At 45.2% G+C, this 22,423-nt stretch overlaps 1 long non-coding RNA gene across 2 annotated transcripts; it reads left to right on the top strand.

Moving 5' to 3' along the window:
* Positions 1-2,771: 2,771 nt before the first annotated feature.
* LINC01615 (long intergenic non-protein coding RNA 1615) lies at positions 2,772-7,669 on the top strand. 2 transcript variants are annotated; one of them, NR_132622.1, is made up of 4 exons: positions 3,460-3,627; positions 4,547-4,693; positions 6,625-6,716; positions 7,305-7,669. It is a non-coding gene; the product is annotated as a long intergenic non-protein coding RNA 1615 (long non-coding RNA). The 2 variants fall into 2 exon arrangements; NR_132623.1 differs by lacking the exons at positions 3,460-3,627; positions 4,547-4,693; positions 6,625-6,716 and adding an exon at positions 2,772-3,118.
* The last annotated feature ends 14,754 nt before the right edge of the window (positions 7,670-22,423 follow it).

The following is a 22,423-nucleotide window of genomic DNA, read 5'->3' as shown; positions in this document are numbered from 1 at the left end:
GGCCTCAATGCAAGTTCCTGTGTAATTCAAGGATAAAGTGCAGGAGGAGGCTTTGACCCACCTGCACTGTGTCAGAGGAAGGGGAGCTTCTGCATAGAGGAGTCAGTTCCCAGCAGGCAGACTTGGCAAGCTTTACAATCTAGGACTAAAAGCCACACACACACAAGGAATATGCAGTCAGGAGTTTTAAAAGAAAAACATTTGTATCCAAAGACACAAGTGAAATAAGACACTGACTATTCAGTCCCCTAAATTTCATTCTACAGTTGGAAATGTACAAAGCAAACCTGGCTCATTTTATATAAAATTTATCTTCTGTGAACTTTGGGTACAATCCCACTACCAAAGGCATTCCACTGGACCTGGATTGAGTACGTCTCTATCTTTTAAGTATTAACCTAAGAAATTGTGGATACACCCCACACCTAACAGAATCAACCAAGAGAAGCAGCTTTGGTGACAAAAAGGGAGCTCACGATGAGGACAGCTGCATTCAGCACCCACAGATCTTTGGCTAGCCTGAGCACTGCCTCAGGGCACAGCAGGAAAACGCTGGCAGGTTGCAGAGCCCAGCTGTCCACCCCATCACCATGGACGGCCCCATATATAGGCAGATTTGAGAGGGGTGGATCAGAACTCACCAACAAACTCTTCATGGCATGAATATTGGAAAAGGTACTTCTAATTCTGTGAAAGAAAAAAGTTCTAGAATCCTCCTAAGTTAACATGTGCTGATAATACGCAAGTGACTGTTGAACTCATACCGCCCATGTATATATAACATAGAAAAGTAAATCATCATCATCATCATAACTTAGAAGGCTTACTTCCAAAATGTGAGCACTACTCATTTCTGTTAATATAAGGCCATCATAAGCAGAAAATTCATTTTTGTTATTTTTTTAAAATAAAGATTTAAACTGAGATTTCCCTTATGATTTAAACCAGGGGTTCCCAGTCCTGGGAGCATGACTAGTACCGTTCCATAGCTTGTGAGGAACTGGGCCCCAGAGCAGGGGGTGAGCAGCAGGTGAGCAAAGCTTCATCTGTATTGACAGCCGCTCCCCATGGTTCAAGTTACCCCTTGAGCTCCACCTCCTGTCAGATCAGCGGCAACATCAGATTCTCACAGGAGCTCACATCCTCTTGTGAACTGTGCATGCGAGGGATTTAGGTTACGTGCTCCTCATGAGAATCTAATGCCTGATGATCTGTCACTGTCTCTCATCACCTTCAGATGAGACCATCTCATTGCAGGAAAACAAGCTCAGGGCTCCCACTGATTCTACATGATGGTGAGCTGTATCATTATTTCATTATATATTACAGTGTAATAATAATAGAAATAAAGTGCACAACAAATATAATGCACTTGGGCTGGGTGCGGTGGCTCCCGCCTGTAATCCCAGCACTTTGGGAGGCAGGTGGATGGCCTGAGTTCAGGAGTTTGAGACCAGCCTGGCCAATATATGGTGAAACATTGTGCCTACTAAAAGTATAAAAATTAGCTGGGCATGGTGGCGGGCACCTGTAGTCCCAGCTGCTCGGGAGGCTGAGGCATGAGAATCGCTTGAACCCGGGAGGCAGAGGTTGCAGCGAGCCGAGATTGTGACACTGCACTCTAGCCTGGGCAACAAGAACGAAACTGTCTCAAAAAAAAAAACAAACTAATTAATTAATTAATGTAATGCACTTGAATCATCAAGAAACCACCCCCACTGCCCCCACTGCCCCCACTGCCAGTTGATGGAAAAATTGTCTTCCATGAAACTGGTCCCTGGTACCATAAAGTTTGGGGACTGCTGATTTAACCAACACAATATATTAAAAAGGCAGACCCCTATTTCTGGCCTGAGGCCACTTCTGTTTCTGGAGGCAGCATCCTTGGCTGGGTAAATGCAGCTTCCCCAAAGGCAGCCACATCCTGATGCCTCTGAAGATATCAGCAGAACAGGAAAACTGAGCACTCAGCCCAGTTCCTGCCTCTCAGTGGGCAGTTCCCACCCCTCAGCAGGCAGTTCCAACCCCCTGGCCAGCAATTCCTACCTCTCAGTGCACAGTTCCCACCTCTCAGTGCACAGTTCCCACCCCTCAGCAGGCAGTTCCCATCCCCTGGTCAGCAGTTCCCACCTCTCAGTGCATAGTTCCCACCCCCGGGCCAGCAGTTCCCACCTCCTGGTCAGCAGTTCCCACCTCTCAGTGCCCAGTTCCCACTCCCCAGCCAGTAGTTCCCACCCCTCAGCAGGCGGTTCCCACCCCTCGGCCAGCAGTTCCCACCCCCCGGCCAGCAGTTCCCACCTCTCAGTGCATAGTTCCTACCTGTCAGTGAGCAGTCCAGTGCCACATGTCATCCACAGGACACAGCCCTGCAAGGGTCAGGACTTTGGCCCGGGGCACCCAGGCCTGGGCAGTGTCTCCTCAGGGCAGCCCATCCCTACAGTGAGAGACTCTTACAGACCCTGCCACTTGGTCATTTTGCTCCTCCATTTTTCCCCATGACTCACAACAGCGTGGACACATGTGTAAGTGTCAGTGATCTCAGAACTCAGTGATGAGTCAGTAAAGTCCATGTAGTTTTCTCTTTTGGAAAGCATTATGCCCTTCCTGCTTATGCCTTCAGGGGCTGTCCTCTGTGCTGCCGTGACTCAGGTTTGCCATTTCATGATTTTCCCCCTTTGTGAGAACCAACCCCTCCCAGAAAGGAGCCTGGGAACTGCATGGCCTGGGGCGGGGCCTACCCAGGGCGGTGCCCCAGCCACAGCACCAGCCCCTCCGGGCGGAGAACAACAAGGTCTATTGGTCTATGTAATGCTGGTGCCAAACAATAAGAAAAACCAACAAAACACTGACCTTGGTCCACAGACAACACCCACGTCCACGTGGTGGGTGGGACTGGCTCCGTCAGAGGATGGGAAGATGAGAAGTGCTTGTCGCAGGCCTGGAGATGGGGACCACCCAGGCATGCAGGGGATGCTGCCTCTCCTCCATCCAACAACAAGCCTGCGTGTGCCCAGCCCCCTCTGGTACACGCATTGCTCCCCATCCTCGGCATTGATCAATTGAAAATAAGACCTTGGAAGAACCCCTTGCAAAGCTGACATTGTACGAGCCAAGGCAGGTAATAAAGCGTAGATACAGTGAGGGAGGGGGCGGATGGCATGACAAGTCAGAGGGTGATGCCTGCGGCGGGGATGCACTGAGAATAGAGAGGGCAGGTGCGGGGCTGGAGACACACTCCTGAGAGGGAGATGGGAGAGAGGGCGCCTCGCGGATCCCGAGGAAGGCTGAAGACAGGAGAAGGGAGGGGTCGCACACGTTAAACGCTGCCGAAAGGCCAGGAGAGATTAAGACAGAAATGAATCACTGGATTCGGCCAGGCTGCGGTTATTGACAACAGTGGGAAGAGCAGGTTTGGCGCCGCGGTGCCCGCATTTGGGGTGGCGAGAACGTGAAGGAGGACCTGGCCGTGGGGTCAGCTGCACAGGCCAGGAGCTCGAGGGTGGTGGCTGGCAGAAAGTGCAGTCCAAAGTACTCTGTTTTGTTTTGATTGTGTTTTAAAATGGGACAAATAACAGCATGTGTGTTTGCTGATGGGGAGAATCCAGGAGAAAAACAGTGAAGTTGAGGGTGAGCAGAGCTGTGCTGGCAGAAAGCTGCACACGGGGCGGGCAGGCCAGGCCACGGACTGGCTCTGCGGGGCGGGGATGTGCATCGTGGTCCCCAGTGTGGAGGGCAGGGCCCTGGATACAGGGGCCGGGGCACCCGTGGACAGGGCAGGGGGAGGAGACCGAGACTTCCTTCAGATCACCCCCACCTTGCCAGGGACCAGGAGAGAGCAAGGCTGGTGCTCAGCGGGAGGGTGAGGCCCGAGCTGGTGCAGGTTGAGGAGAGGGAGAAGGCACCAGTGTCAGCCAGGAGATGGGTAGGAGACCATGAGGGAGGCGCATGAGGCTGGCTGGTGGCATGATGCGGCCTGCTGGACTGTCTCTGTGGGTGGTTTTGAGATTTTTACCAGTGATGACCAGTTGTGTAATTGCACACAGAGATGGAAGAGAATAAGATTTAACCAAGCAAGTTCAATAAACAGAAATCCAAAAATGGTGAGATTGCAGGCAAGGCAGTGTTAAAAATGATTTGTCATGGAATTCAAATATGTAAGGTGGAGAGTTTGGACAGCTGGAGGATGGGAGACTGACCCCAAAACAGTGATAGGATCAATGGGTTAGAGCTGGCAGCAGGGCCAGCAGATTGTATGAACCCCTTTCCCAGAGGGTGAGTGGAGAGGACAGGAGGAGGTGGCCAAAGCATGGGTGCAGAGGCTGAGCTGACAGGGGCTGTGCTGAGGATGAGGCAGCCCTGCAGTGGAGCCGAGGAGGCTGGAAGACAGGGTGCCAGGCTGAGGGCCTGAGGCCAGGCTTCGAGAGAGATGGGGTGCAGACAGGGAAGCCACCAGGAGATTATGCAAGTCAGCACTGAGTGGTCCCATAAGTTCTTAGGATCTCCAGTTTATGGCTTTAGCAGAAATGGAACTCCCTTCCCCTCACAGTGAGCCTCACAGGGTCAGGGGGAAGACAGGGGATCCCGAAGATAACGTCTGCTACGAACTCAATTGCATCCGCCCCGGGCCCTAAGTTGAAGCCCTAATCCCCACGTTGACTGCATTTGGAGAAGGACCTTCAGCACATGATGGAGGGTAAGTGAGGTCACCAGGCTGGGGCCCTCATCTGCTGGGGATCCTTCTAAGAAGCAGAAGAGGCACCGGGGTGAGTGAGCACCGAGGAAAGCCAGGCGGGCATGCAGCCAGGGGCGGCCATCTGCAGCCGGGAGGAGATCCTTCCCCAGGAACCAGCCCTGCCCACACCTCGACCCCCAGCTTCCAGTTGCCAGGGCTGTGTCGAAAGGCCCTTGTGTGGTTGAAGCCGCCCAGTCTTCGGCATTTTGTTATGGCAGCTCCAGAAGACGAAGCCCGTTCTCTATCCCTGACTTGAAGGTCCCTCACTCAGATTCTCTAATCAGTTTGGATGATGAATTACTCACTCCCAACCTGGGATTCAGGCCACACTGTTCAGATGACCTGGGTTTGAAGAAAGGGATGTCCTCAAAGCCGTACGACCTGGGTGGTGTGAGCATCAAGGGGGGCTTCCCTGCCATGAAACACAGCAGTCACCCCTCTGCCTTGAAGGCAGCACCCTGCAGATGCACCTGCCCCAGCTTCAGCACCAGCCAGGGCTGGATTTGCATCCTGCCTCTTCTACTGTAACATTTGAAAACATGGCTTTCCCCTCTCAACTGTCAAATCTGGAAAACAGAAGGGCCTGCACGTTAGCCTGCTGCGAGGATCACATGAGAGGCTGAGGAAGCCCCCGTCAGGTGCAGGGCCTGGAACTCGGCCAATTCCTGCTCCTCTGGGCCAGGTTCGGTGGTGTGGCAAAGGGTCCAGCAACACAGGCTCCCCCGGAACCCGTGGGGAATTCTTGCCACGTTGCTGTCCCATGACGGGCAGCTGCTGCTGTGGCTGCTGAGCCGGCAGGCGTCTCCGTTCCACCAGGTCACTCCACCCAGGTCCCTGCTGCTCTGACATCCTTCCAGGCGTGGTCCTCATTGGGTCAAAGCTGCCCGCCACAGCAGCGGGTCCAAATTCCAGTCCACGGGGAGACAGTATTGCTGAGGATTCACTATTTGTAACTCATTCTGCAGCACGAGACCAATGTCTCTTTACACTCTTCTTTGCCCGGCCTTCCGAATGGCTGCCCAGTCTCATTTCCCCAATCATGACGCTTGAGCTCTGAGGCTGGGGATGCTACCCTGCTAGCACCCAGGCATTGAGGAGAAGGAAGGGTCTCGCCACAAGGAAAGTCCATCTTGGCAGGCATGTTTCGTCAATGTTACATTCCTGTTTCTTACACATTTTTTAAAGTCAGGGACTTGCTGGGCTGTGTCCTAGAACACAAGCATTTTCTTCACAAAACTACCCTTTCCTTGGAGTTTCGCTGGGATGTGTTCTCCCGTGGAAATGATGCCGTGGGGGTGGCTTGGTCCCGTCAAGTTCTTACAAAAGCCGCCTTGGCCAAGTGCAACTGGAGGCTCCTCCTCTGCCACAAGTGGTTGTGGAGGTAGTGAAGGAAGAGGCGATACCAGCGGGCTGTGTTGTATTTGCTAAGGACATCGTGCATTGTGGGAAGCTTCACAGACTTGTGTAAAACCAATCAGTGGGCCCTCAGGGAGCCGGTGCCAGCTGTGCCGAAGCATGACCAGGGGATAGTGAGCACCCCACGAAGCCGTTCTGGTGGGAGAGACACCCCAACCCATGGCCTCATCTGCTGACAGTCAGGGCTCCAGCCCAGAGATGCGGCAGGGCCTGCTGGCGGCACAGAACCGCTGGGGTGTCGTCCAGATCCCAAGGCCGTGGCCCCACGCTGGGCCTGGTCTCGGGGGCTCTTCCTCATCAGCTACCTCATCGGGCCCCTGCTACTAGTGAAGGGGATTAATCTACGTGGATCTGTGCATCTGCCTTAATATCATGCAAGAAAACACATTCTTGAGTCAGATGTCAGAACTATTCCTATATTTAACTCGGGGGATGTGGAACATGGCTAATCAACATCACCCTTTCTTTTCGTGAAGGACCGAGATGCCCAAATCCTGGCCCTCCTGCTGGACTTTCATTTTAAAGAACAATAAAATTAATGTTAACTTCTAGCAGCTTCCAAGCTCTGGTAAGGTGATCCAACCCTAAATCCCAGTAGTCACTACTGGAATACGGTGAACCTCTCTCTTTGAAGCCTGGCTTGGCCGTGTGTCACTCCCAGTGGACGGAATGCACTGTCTCTGGTAAAGGGGCGTATCCCATCTCTGCAGGTTTTCAAACACAGGCTAAGGACGTGTCAGAGATACTTTGACGGCGTTAACAGTTCTAGTGAGCCGTGTGCCAAGACAGCCTGGAAAGTTTAGGGGTTCCCGTGCCCTTTTGGGTATAGTTTGCAAACTCTTATGGGCACCCACCAGGAATAAAGGATCCCCAATATCATCCATGGCTTATGGCTGGAAATCCCGAATACATCTACAAAATGGTGACATTGCCGAATAATCTGTCACCCTGGGGAGTTGCCACAAGGAAAAACCCAAGCCGCTCTGTAGCAACATGGTCAGCAGAACAATCACTGAAGGCTGACATGGGGTTTGGAGTGTTACAAACCACACTTGGACTTCTAGGCTGCGATTTTAACTGCCCCTCATCTGAATTCAAGCTTACTTTGTTTTGCATTGTTGAAGCTGATGCCTGTGCTTTTCTTCTTCCTTTGCAGTGGCCCCGGAGAGGGTCAGCGAGGGGCCTCCACTGTCTGAGTCCGCTCCTGGCAACGCCTGCTCTCTGCACTCAGAGGCCCGGTCCCGGCAGCTGCCACGTTGCTCAGAAGTTCTGGCAGGGGGAGCCTGAAACCCCTGTCTGCTGGCGACACTCCCGGAGCAGCAGGAAATCTCTACATTTTATTTTTTTTCTTAACAGACAAAAGTATTTGACTCCAGAATGATTTCCAGGAATTACAGTATGAGAACTTAGTCTTTGAGATTTTTATTTTCTTCTTAAAAAAATAAAAATGAAATCAAAGCAGAAGACACTGGTTGAGCAGACAGCACACTAGCACATTCCACTTCGCAACAAAACCTGCGTGTTTTCTGCCCGGTCTACCTCAGACAGGGATGGTGGGCTTCATAGCCTTTCCTGTGGAAGGAGTTCAGGGCGGGAGGGAAGTGCTGGGGTAGGAGGGGCAGGCAGAACCTGGAAACTGCGCCCCATTCTTTCTTCTCGGAACTCCATTGCCAGAGGGCTTGGAGTGCTTCTCGGCGATTTGGCATCTGCTTCTCCTCTGCCCCTCATTCAGAGTTCTCATTGCAAGAAAAGCAGGGAAAAGGTTCAAAAAACCCTTCAGACTTGGAGCCGTTCCTCGGTGATAATTGAACCACCAGAGGTGCTGGCAGGGCCATGGCGAGAGGCACCTCTAGGAAATCTCACACAACCCACACTGCTCCCCTCTCCTGCATGGCAGTGACCCTCCCATAAAAGGGTACAGCCTGTTGTGCCAGCTTTGCAACTGGGATCATTGCAGTCTCTGGCTTTTTGACTCCAGGCGGGCTCCGTGCCCTCCGGGGCCTCTTCTTCCTTGTCAGGCCAGTGGGAGCCACAGAGGCCTCATTGGCTTCCTATGAATATTAAATGGGATTCTCTGTGGGGGAAGCTTCCATAAGGCAGGAAGGGGTCCCCGGTTGTTGGCTATTAGTGTTATTTTCTTTTAAATCATCTGTGCTCCTTCAAAGACGACGTAAGAAGCTTGTGCCCTGGCGTTGCAGAAATCTCTGGCTGTAGGGATTAAACCTACATGTCTTCCTGATGGGGTGGTGAGGACGTAAACGGTGAATAGTGCCAGCCACAGGGAGCATTGCAGAGAGTAACCAAGTGTGTGATAAACATGCTGTCATATGTGTGTAAACGGCCAAGAGACCACTGCTTTTGCCTGAGTGACCTCCGCAAGGACACAGAAATAAAACATACAAAAAAGTTGGCACTGAGTGGTCTAGAATCTTCCATCTCTGTTTTTTCTTGGTAGAAACTAGCCTCAAAGAAAACATGTGCTTCAGGTTGACAAGATCTCCAGTCTACCAAGCCTATCTGTCCCTGAGAATTGGTTATCTATTGCAGCATAACCATTCACCTCCAACTTTAGCTGATTAAACAACCCTTTCTCATCTCACACAGTTTCTGGGCTCAGAAGTTGAGAAGCAGCCTAGCTGGCTGACTAGCTGGCTGAGGCTCAGGGGGTCCCTTGGGTCTGCAGTTATCTGAAGACTGGATGGGACTGGAGGTGAGGCTTCCAAGCACACTCCTGCGGCCATCAGAAACCTCAGCTTCCCAAGTGAGTGATCCAGGAGGGCAAGGATTTGCCTGGCAGGAAGCTGCGGCCACTTGTGGCCTGGTCTCAGAAGCCCACACCCCCCTTTTGCCATATTCTGAGCACACAGACCCCAGCATGAGGCAGGCAGGCTGGAGCAGGGAGAGCCACAGCAGGCCAGGACCTGGGAAGACTGTCTTGGACGCCGGCCGTCACTCCCAGATAGCACTATGTGGCTGATTGCATCAAACGACCATCCATGCCTTTCCTGCTTCAAGGATGTGAATCACAAGCCTGGTGAGGAGCCTCTGAAATGCACGAGGGAGGGGTGTGTGTACAGCACCCTGGGAGCCTGTTACCAACAAAGGAAAATGAACCACGGATGCCAGGTCATTCCCAACAGCAGATAGACATGTGATTTCACCCATCTTAAAACAAAACAGAACAGATTCTCCCAACCCATGCTGTCAGTAAGCTACGTCCCCATTGCTCTGCACCCACTCCCATCAGCCGTCACCCCCACCATTTAGTCCATACCACTCTGTGTCTGTGGGGGCAGCACTCGGGTGATCCCGGCGGTGCCTCTCAGTCCCCTTCCACGGGCCTGTCAGCACACAGGGAAACTCCGACAGCGTCTTCAGCTCACTCCTTGCTCTTCACTTGGCCTCTAGGGTCCCGCTCTTTGGTTCTCAGCTGCCTCTGCTAATCCCTCTGTTCCCAGCTTCTGAATATCGAAGGAACCACAGACTCATTCCCGGATTTACTCCTCTTCTCTGTCCACATGGCTTTAAACACCATCCTCACACCTCTGACTCCGAAATTCATACCTCAGGTTCAGACCACTCCCCGACCCCAAAACTCATATAGGGTCTGTCCACCGAACCTCTCCTCTCAGTAGACATGGATAATTCAAAATGTCCAAACTGAGCTCTTGATCTCCCTTTCCAATCCGTCCTCACCTGCAGCCACCCCACCTCAGGTGAGGGCAATGCCGTCCTTTCTGTTGCTTAGGCCGAAAACCTTGAAGAGCCCCTGAATTCTCCCTTATCTTACACATCACATCCAGTCCGTCCAATTACCCTCCTAGTGCATGTCCAGACACACCTCCTTCCCTCCTTGGTGACGCCCTGGTGGAGCCGCCATCACTGCCCACCTGAGTGAGTGCAGTGGCTCTCCCATGGCTGTCCTATTCCTCTCCTTCCTCTCCATGGGGAGTTCCTTCCATCATGAAGGCTGTGCCACCCTGGCTCCTCGCTCCCCCTTGAACACACCCATGGGTGTTCCTGCCTAGAGGCCTCGGCACTGCTTTCCCCTCTTCCTGGAACTCTGTCCCCTGGGATCACCACCTGCCTAATTTCCCCACCTGTTCCTCGGTTTATACAAAAACCACCTCCCAACAACGTAGTTCATGGTAAAGGCACCACCTGCCCTGCTCACCCTGCACCCTGGACCACTGGTCTTGCTCAATTTTTCTCTTCGCTGATGCATCTCTCATCATTCTCTAATGAACTGGGTCATTCATGGCCTTTATATCTGTTTTTTTGTAATCTTTCCCTTTTTGGTTCATTAAAATATCAGTCCCTGTAAGGGCAGGGTTTTTTCCCCTTTTTTCTTTTCCATTGTCATGTTCCCCAAACCTGCCATAATGCCTGGCACGTAGTAGGTGTTCAGTAAATATCCAGTGCATGAATTCCCTCACCGATGAGGGAAGCATGATAGTTTGAGGGCGCTATAACAGGGGCCTACATGAATTAATTGTACTAGTTATTGCCTATTATAGAGACATTTTCATACTAAGTTGGCTCCTTTAAAAATGTTTCAGTTAACTCTCTTGGCATTTAACTTCATCATTCTGGGAGAGTGAGAGTCAAGGCACCAGCTGGACGGTGCTGAGAGCGAGCGGTGAGCGTACAGAGGAGCGCTTCTGCTCTTGCTTAGCACACATTTTTAATGTCAACACCCTTTTATATTAAAAATATATTTTTGAGAGGGCTGGTAGAGTACTGAAATCTCCCCAGCATCCACAATGTATCAACTACCAATTTGGAAGTCTTGAAGGAACAGCTTTCTGCCACAGTAATGCAATCCCCTTGCGGTGGCCTGTTTCTTCAGCAACCTCCAAACCAGCAGGGTGTGTTTTCTCATGACTTTCCCGCAAGGTAAAATATACCACAGTGAGCCTACTGTTTCAACGGTCAGACTGTTCCCATGAGGATGCTAGCCTTTCCATGGCTACTCGCACCATTTCAGACATGGGGGATGCATTCGGAGCATATTTTAGGCCTTCCCTTTTATAGAAAGCATGGTAAACCAAAAAGTTTTACTGAAAGTGTAATCTCTGATCATCATGGTACAACACTCAATTATAGGTTTTAATGGCATTCTTTGTTGTTTATACATCCATACAAATTCCATTAAACTTCGTGTTTGAAGATGATGTTTCCCAATAGGTAAAAGAACAAGGTATTTACCATGTTGACTTTGACTTGAAAGTGATTCTTAGAATACCACTGGGCTCTATACACAGCTGCAATTTTTCACATTGTGGTGGCATCTAGGACTTCCACAACTCAATAGCAAAAAGGAAAATAAAAGCACAGCAAAAATAAAATTAAAATGGTCAAAGGGCTTGAAACATACATATCTCTAAAGATGACATTTAAATGGACAACAAACATGTAAAAAGACACTCAACATTATTAATAATCAGGGAAATTTAAATCAAAGTCACAATGAGATATCACCGCACCTGTGAGGATGGCTAAAAAAACACAAAACTAGAAGACAACAAGTGTGGGTTGATGATGTGGAGCAACTGGACCCTTGTGCACTGTTGGTGGGCATGCAAAGTGCTGGAGCTGCTCTGGGAAAGAGTGGAGGTGCCTCAAAACATTAAGAATAGAGCTCTCCAAGGATCCAGCAATCTCACTTCTGAGCATATATCCAAAGGCACTGACGCGAAGATCTCAAAGGGGAGCTGCACTCCCTTGCTTGTTACAGCGTTATTCACGATAGCCAAGGCGTTGATGCAACTTCAATGTCCACTGATGAATGTATGATAAAGACAATGTGGTATGCATGTAGAATGGAATATTATTCAGCCTTTAAAATGAAGGAAATCCTGCCATTTGCAACCACGTGGATAAACCCTGAGGATGTTATACTGACTGAAATAGGCCAGACGCAGAAGGACAAATACTGCTTGATAGATACCATGTATGTAATGAATTTAAAACAATGAAACTTACAGAAGCAGAGAGTAGAAGGGCGGTTGCCAGGGGCTTGGAGGAGAGGGAAACAGGGAGGTGTTAATGAAAGATGAAGAAGCCCTAGAACTCTACAGTTCAGCACAGAGCATACAGTGAAGTGTGCTTATTGCCAACATCATCATCATCATCATCATCATCATCAGCAGCAGCAGCAGCAGCATCATCGAGTGGGAAGAGACTTTTGGAAGTAATAGAAAGGCTTAGGGCATGATTGTAGTGATGGCTTCAAAGCTGTCTACTTATTTCCAAACCCATTAAGTTGTATACATTGAATATGCGGTTTTTATATGTCAACTACACCTCAGTAAAGCACTTTGGGGGAAAAAACAATTGAGTTTACTGAAATTTATGAGCTTATTCACGTGTTAATTCTGAAAATAATTTAACATTTTTATGAATAAAATAATGCATTGTGTTCTGGTCAGAAATGAAGTCCTCGTTCTTGTGCTAGATTTGTATCTGTGTCAGTATTCTGAGATTTTTTTAAATTACAGAAAACCTATTTTTATAATTACATTTTCTTAGATCCAGTATTCAAATACTGACACATAAAGAATGGGACACATATAAGCAATCTTCAGATGTGCCACCACTATTATTAAAATGCACAGGAATAATTCAAGATGTTGAAGGAACACAATAAAACATATTCAACCAGGTGATCTTCTCTGGACAAACTGCTTAAGGAAGTGTTCTAGCAAAATAATTACTTAAACTTAAGAAAGACAAAAACCAACAACAGCCACATGGCTGTGCACAAAGCCATGAGGATGGTGGGTATGCCTCACACCTGGAACATGATCTGTGTAAACTAGAACAGGATTGAGTGCTTTCCAAAATGAATTTCTTCAAAGGCAGTGGACACAAGAAAAAAGAAGGAAACTGTTTTCAATCACACCATTGCTAGGGAGAGGGAGGATTGAAGGGAGCAGTCTTCAAGCTCTTTGCTCATGAATGTAAAAGACTGCACATTTGTAAGTAGGTATCTAAATTTTTCTCCAAAGTTTAAATAGTTGCAAACAATATCATTGACGTGTCAAGTAAAATTGCCACACCAGTTTCAAATACATACAGGGGCATTGAAATACCACGTCTGCTTTACACCAGAATCATCCACATGAAAAAATACTAGGAAAAGCTTTTTAACAGTCAAAATGTTAAATTATTACACGTTTCTTGAATTTGCAACTCCCTTCTATTTTTCTAATTATTATTTTTAACCTTACATAATAAATTTTAGAATAGAAACATTTGAGGGATCACTATATCATACTCCTCTTCAACACAAATATGTAATTGAGAAATATAACTTAAAATGATGTCATTAAGACTGCATATTTTTAAAGTTTCTGATTGTGTTAGTACTATTGTTTTAATGCTTAACTTGTTAAAACAACATAAAAATTATATGTTTTAAGAGTATTAAATATAAAAGCAAAACTTGATGAAAATACATCCTTAATTATACAGGTAAAGTTCCTTTCTTGATCAGTTCATGTTACCTACTGCTGTAACTAGAAAAGACTGCAAATCAATTACCCTCTTATTATTCATTCTTGTGTGTGTGTAAATATCGACATATTTTGTTCAAATACTGAGTGGATCAGAATCAGAATGTGGTTATAGTGTTTATCTATGTGATGATGATGAAGTAGTTCCTGCTGGGAATGACTCTAAACATGAACGACATTTTATTCATTTTATTTTACTTTATGTATTTATTTATTTTATTTTAAGGTCTGGAGTACATGCACAGGACATGCAGGCTTGTTGCATAGGTAAATGTGTGCCATGGTGATTTGCTGGACCCATCAACCCATCACCTAGGCATTAAGCCCAGCATGCGTTAGCTGTTTTTCCTGATGCTCTCCCTCCTTCCATACCCCCCAACAGGCCCCAGTGTGTGTTGTTCCTCTCCCTGTGTCTATATATGTACAACATTTTCTAAAGAGCTGTTGGAAGATTCTGGAGAACAACCAGAGTAGCCATAACTGGAAAAGCCAGAGAGAAGGAAATTACACAAGGCTGGACCCAACTTTCTCTTCCAGTTTGGCCAATTGTGGGTGCTTGGAGCACAGCAGCTGAGGGTAAGAAGATCAGAACTCTCAGCATCTCCCACAGATGAGGAGGTGAAGGCTGGAGAGTAGAGTGGCCTCAGTGGCAGGACTTGCGGGATGACGTCCTGGAGAACAGAGACTCTCTCTACTAACTTAATATCCTGGAGAAAATAGACTCTCTCTACTAATTTTAATATCCTGGAGAATAGAGACTCTGTCTACTAATTTTTATCCTGGTGAACAGAGACTCTCTCTACTAATTTCAATATCCTGGAGAACAGAGACTGTCTCTATTAATTTTAATGTTCTGGAGAACAGAGAATCTCTCTACTAATTTTAACATCTTGGAGAACAGAGACTCTGTCTACTAATTTTAATATCTTGGAGAACAGAGACTCTCTCTACTAATTTTCTTTTGGAGGCTTATAACAATTCCTAAACTTCAGGGAATTAAAGAGAAAAAAACATGCAAGAACTGGTATCTGAAACTCTGTAAATCTAAGGAGAGATTTCCATATTCTTAAGGTGTGGAATGGAAAATATTGAAGTTTAATTTCCATCAAAAGGGATACTAGTAATAGCCAAAGTAAATCTAGTCAATTTTATACTTTCACCTGAGATCCCTGAATGACTATTTCCTAGGAGTAAAAGAAAATACAAATTGTACCAATCATCAAAAAGGGCAAAGCAGAAGGGATTTCTATTATTCATGCTAACAAAGCATCTAGAACTGTGGGGAAATTGGCCCCACAGCCTTAAAACAGTTTAATCTCTGATATAATAAAGGTAATTTGTGACTACTCAAAACTGCATAGAAAATTAGTTTTTCTCTGGAGCAAGATAATATTCTCCAAAGCTTCTATAATTTTTCATAAGATAGTGTCAATATTCAAACAAAAGTTACCAGCCATAGTAGAAAACAAATTTAAATTATAGTAAATGAGGGGAAAAAAACAAAAAATGGACAAGAGCAACAAACTCACTGGTAATCTAGATAAAAGAGTTATCAGAAAATGACATTAAAATAATCAAAATATGCATAAGAAAACTGGTGATATTATGGGGAATTACATGAGAGAACTGAAACCCATTAATTAATATTATAGAACTGAAAATTAACTGAAATCAAGAACTGAAACCAATAAATGGATTTAATAGCAATGAGATGGAGTTGAAAAGAGTATTGATGAATTGGAAAACAGGCAAGAAGAAAATATCTGGAAGGAAACACAGAGTTAAAAAAAAAAGATTGGAATGTATACAAAAATAAACTAGGAGAAATGGAGAAAAAGTCTAAACAGTATTGACTGCAGACCCAAAAAGAGAGGAGAGAAAAAAATGTGACAAAAACTACTAGAACTATTGGCCAAGTAGTTTCTAAAACTGCTAAATCCATCATTCCAAAGATCCAAGACATGTAGGCAGATAGATAAATAAGTCACACCTACTCACATTAATGTAAAGCTTTTGAAAGCTAAAGACAAAAAAAATCTTTCTACCAGAGGAAAACTGAAAGACTATGTGAGCAATAATAAGAATGGTAACTGACATTTAAGAAGAATGGGTGTTTGGAGACACTGGAATGTGATATTTAAAATGCTGAAAGAAATAACTAACACTAAAAATATTCTTCAAAAACAAAAATCATAATTTTTAGGTAAACAAATACTTAGAAAACTTTTAGCAACACAGCTGCACTACGAGGATGACCAGAAAGTCTGTAGGAAGAAGGCAAATGATCCCACAGAAATACCAAATAGGAAACAGAGCAAGCATAGAGTTAAAAAAAAAAATGTGGATTCTATCAAATGGGAATAATACAGTTTTGATGATGTTAAGATCAAATAGAGCTGGGTGTGGTGTTGTGCACCTATAATCCAAGCTACTCAGGAGGTTGAGGCTGGAGGATCACTTGAGGCCAGAAGTTCAAGACCAGCCCTGGTAACATACTGAGATCCCCATCTTTAAAAAAATAATAAAATAAAACAAAAAGATCAAATGCAATGGAAACACATTTCAAACAGCAGAAACAAGAGGTGTTTGTGGTAGGTGGTTAGCACAGCTGACTTCCAAAAAGCACAAAGAGCAAAGAGGACTGATCATGCTAGTGTTCTAAGGTCCTTCATCATTTGGAAGTGGGAGCAGTAATAACATCAGCGAGAAATAAATCAGGAATGGGTGTGTTAATCTTTAAAATGCCATTAAGAGAAGAGTGAAAACATAATTAGAATAGAAACACTTGATTAATGCAAAAATAATTAAAGAAATAAGAAAAATGAATTAAGACCAGATTTCACACATTAAAAATGAAATATAAAAGAGTAGACTCACATCCAAATATATTGTAATGGTATGAAAATATGGATGAACTTAGTGTGCCAGTTAACCAATAATATTGCTGAATTGGATTAAAATAACAAAATGTAACTACACGCTCTTTACAGGAGACATACTTTATGTAAAAGGACACAGAAAAAGCAGGGAAATGTATCATCAAAGGCAGAAAATTTCTAGCATTAGTAAGTAAGGAAGTTTTTGTAATGAAAACAAAGAGCCATACACAGAAGATATACCAATTCTTAATCTAAATAAAATTTAGATTTTAATCTAATAAAATATTAGTGCACCTAAAAAATAACCTCAAGATATATAAAACAAAAATGGGAAAAAACCGAAGGAGAAATAGATAAGCCCACAACCATGTTGGAATAATCCAATATACTTTAGTAACAGAAAGGTAAAACAGACCAACTAAACATCAGTGATAACATAGAAGAGATGAAAAACTAGATTGACAAAATTGACCTAATAAGCAAACCCAGTGTCCCAGTTCATTCAGCCGTTAAAGGGCAATAGATTGGGTGGCTTATAAACAACAGAGACTTATTTCTCATTGTCTTGCGAACACAAAATATTTGAGACAGATCTCAGTCAATTTAGAAAATTTATTTTGCCAAGGTTACAGACACACACATGACACAGCCTCAGAAGTCTGCTCAGAATGATGGTTTCCAGCTTCATCCATGTCCCTGTAAAGGACATGAACTCATCCTTTTTTATGGCTGCATGGTATTCCATGGTGTATATGTGCCACATTTTCTTAATCCAGTCTATCATTGATGGACATTTGGGTTGGTTCCAAGTCTTTGCTATTGTGAATAGTGCAATAAACATACGTGTGCATGTGTCTTTATAGTAGTATGTTTTATAATCCTTTGGGTATATACCCAGTAAAGGGATCACTGGGTCAAATGGTTTTTCTAGTTCCAGATCCTTGAGGAATCACCACACTGTCTTCCATAATGGTTGAACTAGTTTACACTCCCACCAACAGCATAAAAGTGTTCCTATTTCTCCATATCCTCTCCAGCATGTATTGTTTCCTGACTTTTTAATGATCGCCATTAAAATCCTGACTTTTTAATGATCATTTAATGATCGCTTGAGATGGTATCTCATTGTGGTTTTGATTTGCATTTCTCTGATGACCAGTGATGATGAGCATTTTTTCATATGCCTTTTGGTTGCATAAATGTATTCTTTTGAGAAGTGTCTGTTCATATCCTTTGCCCACTTTTTGATGGGGTTGTTTTTTTCATGCAAATTTGTTTAAGTTCTTTGTAGATTCTGGATATTAGCCTTTTGTCAGATGGGTAGATTGCAAAGATTTTCTCCCATTCTGTAACAGCAAAAGAAACTATCATCAGAGTGAGCAGGTACTCAGTTTTTAGTACGTACTCAGTGAACATTTGTTAGATGAGTCAGCAGGAGAATCCTTTATGTTGTCTAGTGCGAAGTTCCTGCAATGGCCCACCCTCCTTTGCCTCAGTCTTCCATTCTGACTTCATCTTCTGTGGGCCTTCAGTTAGGAACTGCTCTAATATTAATACCTTCTAAACTGCAAATACTATGCAAGGTTAGCTTGGGAAGGATGGTGTCTTACATGTATTGACTCTTGGACCATCCGCCTCTTTGACTGCTTGTCTGTATGTGCATTTGTCGACATCACAGCTTCAGATACTCCGTTGCGTCCTAAGTGGTCAGGCCACAAGTTGGTTTTATACATTTTTAGGGAGGCATAAGGCATCAATACATGTGAAATGTACATTGGTTTGGTTGGGAAAGGCAGGATAACTGGAAGCACGGGCTTCCAGGTTATAGGCGATTCAAAGGTTTTCTGATTGGCAATTGGTCGAAAGAGTTATTGTCTAAACCTGGAATTAATATAAAAGAATGTCTGGGTTAAGATAAGGGGTTGTGGAAACCAAGGTTTTATCAAGAAGTTGAAGCTTCCAGGTAGCAGGCTTCAGAGAGAATAGACTGTAAATGTTTCTTATGAGACTTAAAGAGTTTGTTCTATCAGTAATTCCAAAAGAGAGGAGGGTATGATAAGGCACATCTGACTCTCTCTTCCCATCATGGCCTGAACTAGTTTTTCAAGTTATCTTCCCAATGGCCTTGGCCGAGAGGAGGGGTCCATTTGGATGGTTGAGGCTTAGAATTTTACTTTCGGTTTCCACATCCCTCTGGCTCTCAGCCTCTACCTTGGTGGGCCTCATTACCTGAGCTGGGTGGGGGATGAAATGAGCTTGGAAAGACTGGGCTGGTTTTGAGAGAAATGATAGAAAGTGTCAGGCTTTGCCATGGACTTTCTGGAGGCTATGGAGAGGGGAAAGGACAAGGGGTAGGAACAGAGCTTCAAACTTGAGAATGCAGAGAATCCAGAGCATGAGCCCTGAGTGTGTGTGGACACCAAGAAGGGGGAGGGGTGTTAGTTCACTTTCCTGCAGCTGATAAAGACATACTTGAGACTGGGAAGAAAAAGAGGTTTAATTGGACTTACAGCTCCACACAGCTGGGGAGGCCTCTGAATCACGATGGGAGGTGAAAGGCACTTCTTACATGGTGGCAGCAAGAGAAAATGATGCAGAAGCAAAAGCAGAAACCCCTGATAAACCCATCAGATATCGTGAGACTTACTTATATCATGAGAACAGCACAGGAAAGACCAGCCCCATGATTCAATTACCTCTGCCTTGGTCTCTCCCAAAACATGTGGGAATTCTGGGAGATACAATTCAAGTTGAGATTTGAATGGGGACACAGCCAAACCACATCAGGGAGTCTGTTTGTGGGTAAAGCATAGGCGTCTCTGACCACTGAGACACCGCCTCCAGAGCAGCCACAGACACAAGGCAGAACCTGCTGCCATATGCAGTTGGCGTGGAAAGGAACACACGGATGCTGCATTTAATAACTGTTGTGTTTCTGTGGACGGTGAAGGCACGCAAGGCTCCAGCTTGTTTTGAAGACTGAATTTTAGAATCCCTTGACCACCCATTCCTTTTCTCTAAATCTGAAATCCTTTTCTTTCTGGATTGCATCCAAAGAGAAACTTGTGATGAATTTTACCATGTGCTGTGCTGACTCCCAGCCATGAAGCACAGGCCGTTGCTGGAGCCACGTGTGCAGATGGCGGCTGATGGGGAAATGAGGAAAGACACTTGCTCCCACCGCAGGGAATAATGCATCTTTGTTATTTCATTTCTGAAAGAAGGAAATTGTTCCACTGTGCTTTGATAAAATAGATGATCCTTTCTTTTTAAAGAGAATGAAATAAACAATTCTGAGGTTAGTTGCTTTAAAAAATCTGTTTATATATCAGTTTCTGCCAAAGACCTTGAAAAAGTGCATTGCTGGTGGTGGTGATGTTTCTCCCCGCCCCTCCCCGCCCCCCGAAAACACATTGTATTCATTATATGGTCTGCATTTTGCCTGGGGTTAAGAATCCACAGGATTTTTCTCTTGAGTCCAATTCAGAATGTATGTTTTAATTCTTCGGAGAATTTATCTCTTGCCTGTGTGGAGGTTTGAGACATGTAAACATCTCTCCAAATAACCACCACCAGCCTGTGACGGACGCAGCCAGCAGTTATTCCAGGCATGTGGGAGATGGTTGCTGATCCAGCCTGGGAGTCACTGATACCAAAACAGAATGTCTGTGTTGATGGAGAATCTACCATTCAGATTCATGTCTGGAAGGCATTTTTTGATTGTTTCTGTAATTCTGAAATATTTCAGAGACCATAATCCCCATAAAATAGGAATTTGTGACCCTGACTCCGATGGAGGTAGCTTAAGATTCATTTCTTTTTTATGTTCTGTGATTTTACATATCACTTAAAATGGGATAAGTTTTTTAGTTGCTGACTATTTAGTTATGGGCTTAGCAAGAGTGTCCAGAAGAGCTTATTCAGCACAACATCATCACGAGTCTATGGCTGCAGAGTCTCAGCCATGTGTATTCCATGTGTATTACAGTGTATTCATTAACCTATTAATAAATCATTTATTAATTTATGTTTTAAATTAATGTATGTTTATTCCAGAGAATGGAGATACAGCAGTGAACAAAACAGTCAAGTTCCTTGTTATTATTGAGTTTACTTTCAAGCGGAAAGATGCATAGTAATATATTATATATCAGAGGCTATGGGTGAAAAGACAGAAAACTAGAGAGTCACAGAGAAGGGCATGTTACTGTGGATAGAGACTCCTATCCAGTGAAGACCTGAACTGCTGGAGCGGGTGCACCCAGCCCCACAGGAGCAGCCCAGGCAGAGACAGCAAGCGCACGCCTGCATTCGAGCTGCTTTGCAAAGGGGCAGAAGGCGGCTGAGTGAGATGCAGAAGTTTAAATACTGCCCTATGGTCAGCTTGTGCCTTGGATAAGCTCTCTTGACAGGCAATCACAAGATTTGTCTTTCGTATTTTCTATTTAAAACAAAGAAAATAACTCTAAACTGATATTTTAATAAAAAGCAATTCCGGAAGCCAACTTTCTGTTCCTTCCTGAATACCTGGACCCATAGAGAAGGGAAGGCTGGGCTTATGGGCATGGGTGAGCAGGGATGAGGCTGAGGAAGTTAGTAGGAAATGCTTTCTAGATCACTGGCCTCCTCTGCCTGGTGAATAGCAAATGCTGGAAGAATTATTTGCAGAGCTGCACAACATATGTTGTCTTTGACAGCATGACCTCTTGGTAAAGAATTCTGCATCTCAACCATGTGGAGGTACCCACTGCACTGAGATAAATCAGGAACAGCAGATGTGTGCAGCTCTGTCATTTACTCTGCTTAAGGTGTTTTAATCCCAAAGAGGTAAGAAGAAATTAAGACAAAATCGAAGTCACCTGTATTAAAAGAATCAAAGCATCTTGGAAAATAGGGATATTTTCTCCTGGCAGCCCTCACTGTAGGGTACCCCTGGGCGTCTTCTGTACCTCCTGTCCTCTCTTGAAGGTTTATTTCATTGTGAAGGAGACATCTGCCAACTGAAGTGTGTTTGCTCATATCAGCTAACTGGATTCTACTTTTTCAAAATGTGAATTAAATAAAATGTAAACAATGTAAACTATTGTAAAAGGTTGTGAAATTAGTTTTCATTATACAACAATATCAATATAATAAAAAAATAAATTCACTGTGTGTTCTTAAAATTTGAATAAAGGAAATTCTTATGAAAATGTAAACAACTCTTTCCCCATACATTTCTGAGCTCCACTAAGAAGAAGAAAACTATTTATGCTTGATAGCTTCTCTTTTCTCTCCACAGTTCACAGCAGAAATAGTTGCAAAAGTATTTTCCTAAACTAAAATGTAATTCAACAGAGAAGCTGCTTCACCTGTTATAGACAGGAGACAAGAAAATATGGCGTAGAAGAAGGCAGTTCCCCCAGCAAAGGCCCCACCCTCAAGCCTGGAGACCCATGGCCCTAAGTGGGAAAAGGCTTTTCTGTTTTTGAGCCGAAAAAGTTGCCTTTGGCCCACCACACCTCCCCCCAATTCTGTACCCATATAAACCCTGAACCCCAGGCTCCAGAAGCAGATGAGCAGGTGAGGAGACAAGCAGATAGACAGCAGAACAAGGCAGCAGAGAAAGAGAGAAGAGGAGGAGTGTCTGAATGATGAGAGGAGTTCGGCTGGGTGTGGTTGGAGAGGACTTCGGCTGCTGGACAGCCAGACTCCAGGGGAAGATCGCCTTCCCACTCCATCCTCCCTTCCAGCTCCCCATCCATCCCACCGAGAGCCACGTCCACCACTCAGCAAAACCCTGCATTCATCCTTCAAATCTGTGTGTGACCCGATTCTTCCAGGATGCTGCGCAAGAGCTCAGGATACAGAAAGCTGTCACACTGGCCCTTGGCCCTTGC

The sequence above is a fragment of the Homo sapiens genome, chromosome 6 (genome assembly GCF_000001405.40).
Source record: "Homo sapiens chromosome 6, GRCh38.p14 Primary Assembly".
In the NCBI taxonomy this organism is placed as follows: Eukaryota; Metazoa; Chordata; class Mammalia; order Primates; family Hominidae; genus Homo; species Homo sapiens.
This window is presented reverse-complemented; position numbering and strand designations above follow the sequence as displayed.